Source organism: Homo sapiens, chromosome 12 (assembly GCF_000001405.40).
Source record: "Homo sapiens chromosome 12, GRCh38.p14 Primary Assembly".
Classification (NCBI taxonomy): Eukaryota; Metazoa; Chordata; class Mammalia; order Primates; family Hominidae; genus Homo; species Homo sapiens.
Genome location: NC_000012.12, coordinates 14,238,596 through 14,240,574, shown reverse-complemented (window position 1 = coordinate 14,240,574; position 1,979 = coordinate 14,238,596). Strand labels below are relative to the sequence as shown.

The following is a 1,979-nucleotide window of genomic DNA, read 5'->3' as shown; positions in this document are numbered from 1 at the left end:
CAGCGTTTTGCTAATCTCATCCATAAATTCTCTTATCACTTGGGAGGAGATTTGTCAAACTCTCCCCTCCCCTTCACCGCCACCCTTATGGGGTTAGTCTCACTGTGCCTGGGGCTAAGGAGTGGGGCATTTCTAACCCTCGGCATCTGCGCAAAGGGCTGATGGGTAGTTTCCAAGTCAGAACTGGAAGAACAAGTCAAATCTGGGTTGCCAGTCAGGTGGGATAAATAAAGAATGGGAGCCAAGGTAGGGAGTCAAATGCAGGGCTTTAAGGAACCACGCCAGACAGGAGGGAGGGGCAGCGGTGCAGGCCAGCGGGAGGGAGGGATTCAGGAAGTGAGGCGCAGACATGGCAGTTTAATTTATCTTCATCACAAATCTTGAAATCACTGGAGCAGCTACTTGCCCTCTTACAATCTAGACATCAATCTAGAGTTTCAATTTCCTCTTACCAGTCTTCTATTTTTTCATTTGTAAGATATTCCCCTTGATAAAGAAAAGAGAAGTGAAATTGTTAAAATACCAATTTTCTTTGTTTGTCAGCGTCGCCATCTCAGTCCATTCTCTTCCCACAGCCACAGCAATCTTTCTAGTAAGCAAAGCTGATTGTGTCTGGCTCTCTCTCACATTTACAATAAAATCTAAACTTTTCTCTCTTTTTTTCTCTTTTTTTTGGGGGGTGTCAATAAACCTTCCCTAATTTTATCCCCGCCCCCTTTTAGAAAACGTTCCTGGATCATCGCTGCATTTTTGCTATTCCTTTCTGTAACCTTGCCATTCAAAGAGATGCCATTTGCGGTTACAGCAGTTTTTCAACAGTGGCAGTATTTGAGGTCAGATAATTCATTTGTCGTGGTTGGCTGTCTGTGCACTGTGGGACGTTTAGCTGCATCCCTGACCTTTACCCACTAGCTGCCAGTAGCACTCCTCCAGTGGTGACAAGCAAAAATGTTACCAGACATTTCGAAATCTCCCCCGGGAGCGATATTGCCTCTGGTTAACCATTGGGATAGGGTGTGCTGTTTCATGTCTACCCTCCCCTACGCCTGCTCCTCTTTCTGCAGGCAGTGGCCTTCTCCCTGTGGTTATCCTGGCAAACGCAGGCTCATCTCTCAAAATCTCTGCTCCGTGCTCCCTCCCTGGTGAAGCCTTCCCCGTCTGTCAAGGTGGAGTTAGGCAAGTTGGCCCTCCCATTTAGATGGCACCTTGCTATTAGAGTCAGATCGAATTGTAATTCAATGGAGTTGTCTGTTTCCATCTCAGGCTGAGGGTTTAGAAGGTCAGATTGTTTTTTAGTATTTTGTCTCCTGTACCCAGTTAAGTACCTGGGCCAGAATATTGACATCTAGGTGTATCTTTAACAATTTATGTTTCAATGTTGGAAATGATTAAAACAGTTTAGAAATAACATTTAAAGGCAGATTAATTTTTTTTGCCTCATAACTGATATGATGTCTGTGATATCTAGATTTTAATAAGCCACCACATCTCACATATGATATTTTGTATATGATTTGTGAATAGTTGCCTCTAGTTATTAAACTTGTTTTTGTCAGGTCGGGCCACACAGTCCCACGCCTGTAGTCCCAGCACTTTGGGAGGCCGAGGTGGGAGGATCTCCTGAGCTTAGGAGTTTGAGATCAGCCTAGGCAACATGGTGAAACCCCATCCCTACAAAAAAATATAGAAATTAGCCAAGGGTGATGGTGCATGCCTGGAATCTTACCCCAGAGGCTGAGGCAGGAGGATCACTTGAGCCCCAGAGACGGAGGCTGCAGTGAGCCAAGATAGCACCGCTGCACTGCAGCCTGGGTGACAGAGCGAGACCCAGGTCTCAAAAGAAAATAAAAGAAAAAAGAAACAAATAACAAACTAAGACACAAACACACTCATTATCCTAGGCCTCATTAGGCGATAGAAATTTTTCAGCCCCGTTGTAATCTGTTGTATTTTCAGTCCGAATATCTACTGAACTGTCA

General features: G+C 44.8%; 2 annotated features.

Moving 5' to 3' along the window:
* Nucleotides 411-1,350: an enhancer, noted in NCBI's record as "H3K27ac-H3K4me1 hESC enhancer chr12:14392159-14393098 (GRCh37/hg19 assembly coordinates)". NCBI's record gives its function as "activates a minimal SCP1, AML or CMV promoter by ChIP-STARR-seq in primed H9 embryonic stem cells {active_cell/tissue: H9 hESC(primed)}" and the evidence as "EXISTENCE:reporter gene assay evidence [ECO:0000049][PMID:30033119]".
* Nucleotides 1,177-1,256: an enhancer, noted in NCBI's record as "active region_6040". NCBI's record gives its function as "activates an Ori minimal core promoter by ATAC-STARR-seq in GM12878 lymphoblastoid cells {active_cell/tissue: GM12878}" and the evidence as "EXISTENCE:reporter gene assay evidence [ECO:0000049][PMID:35858748]".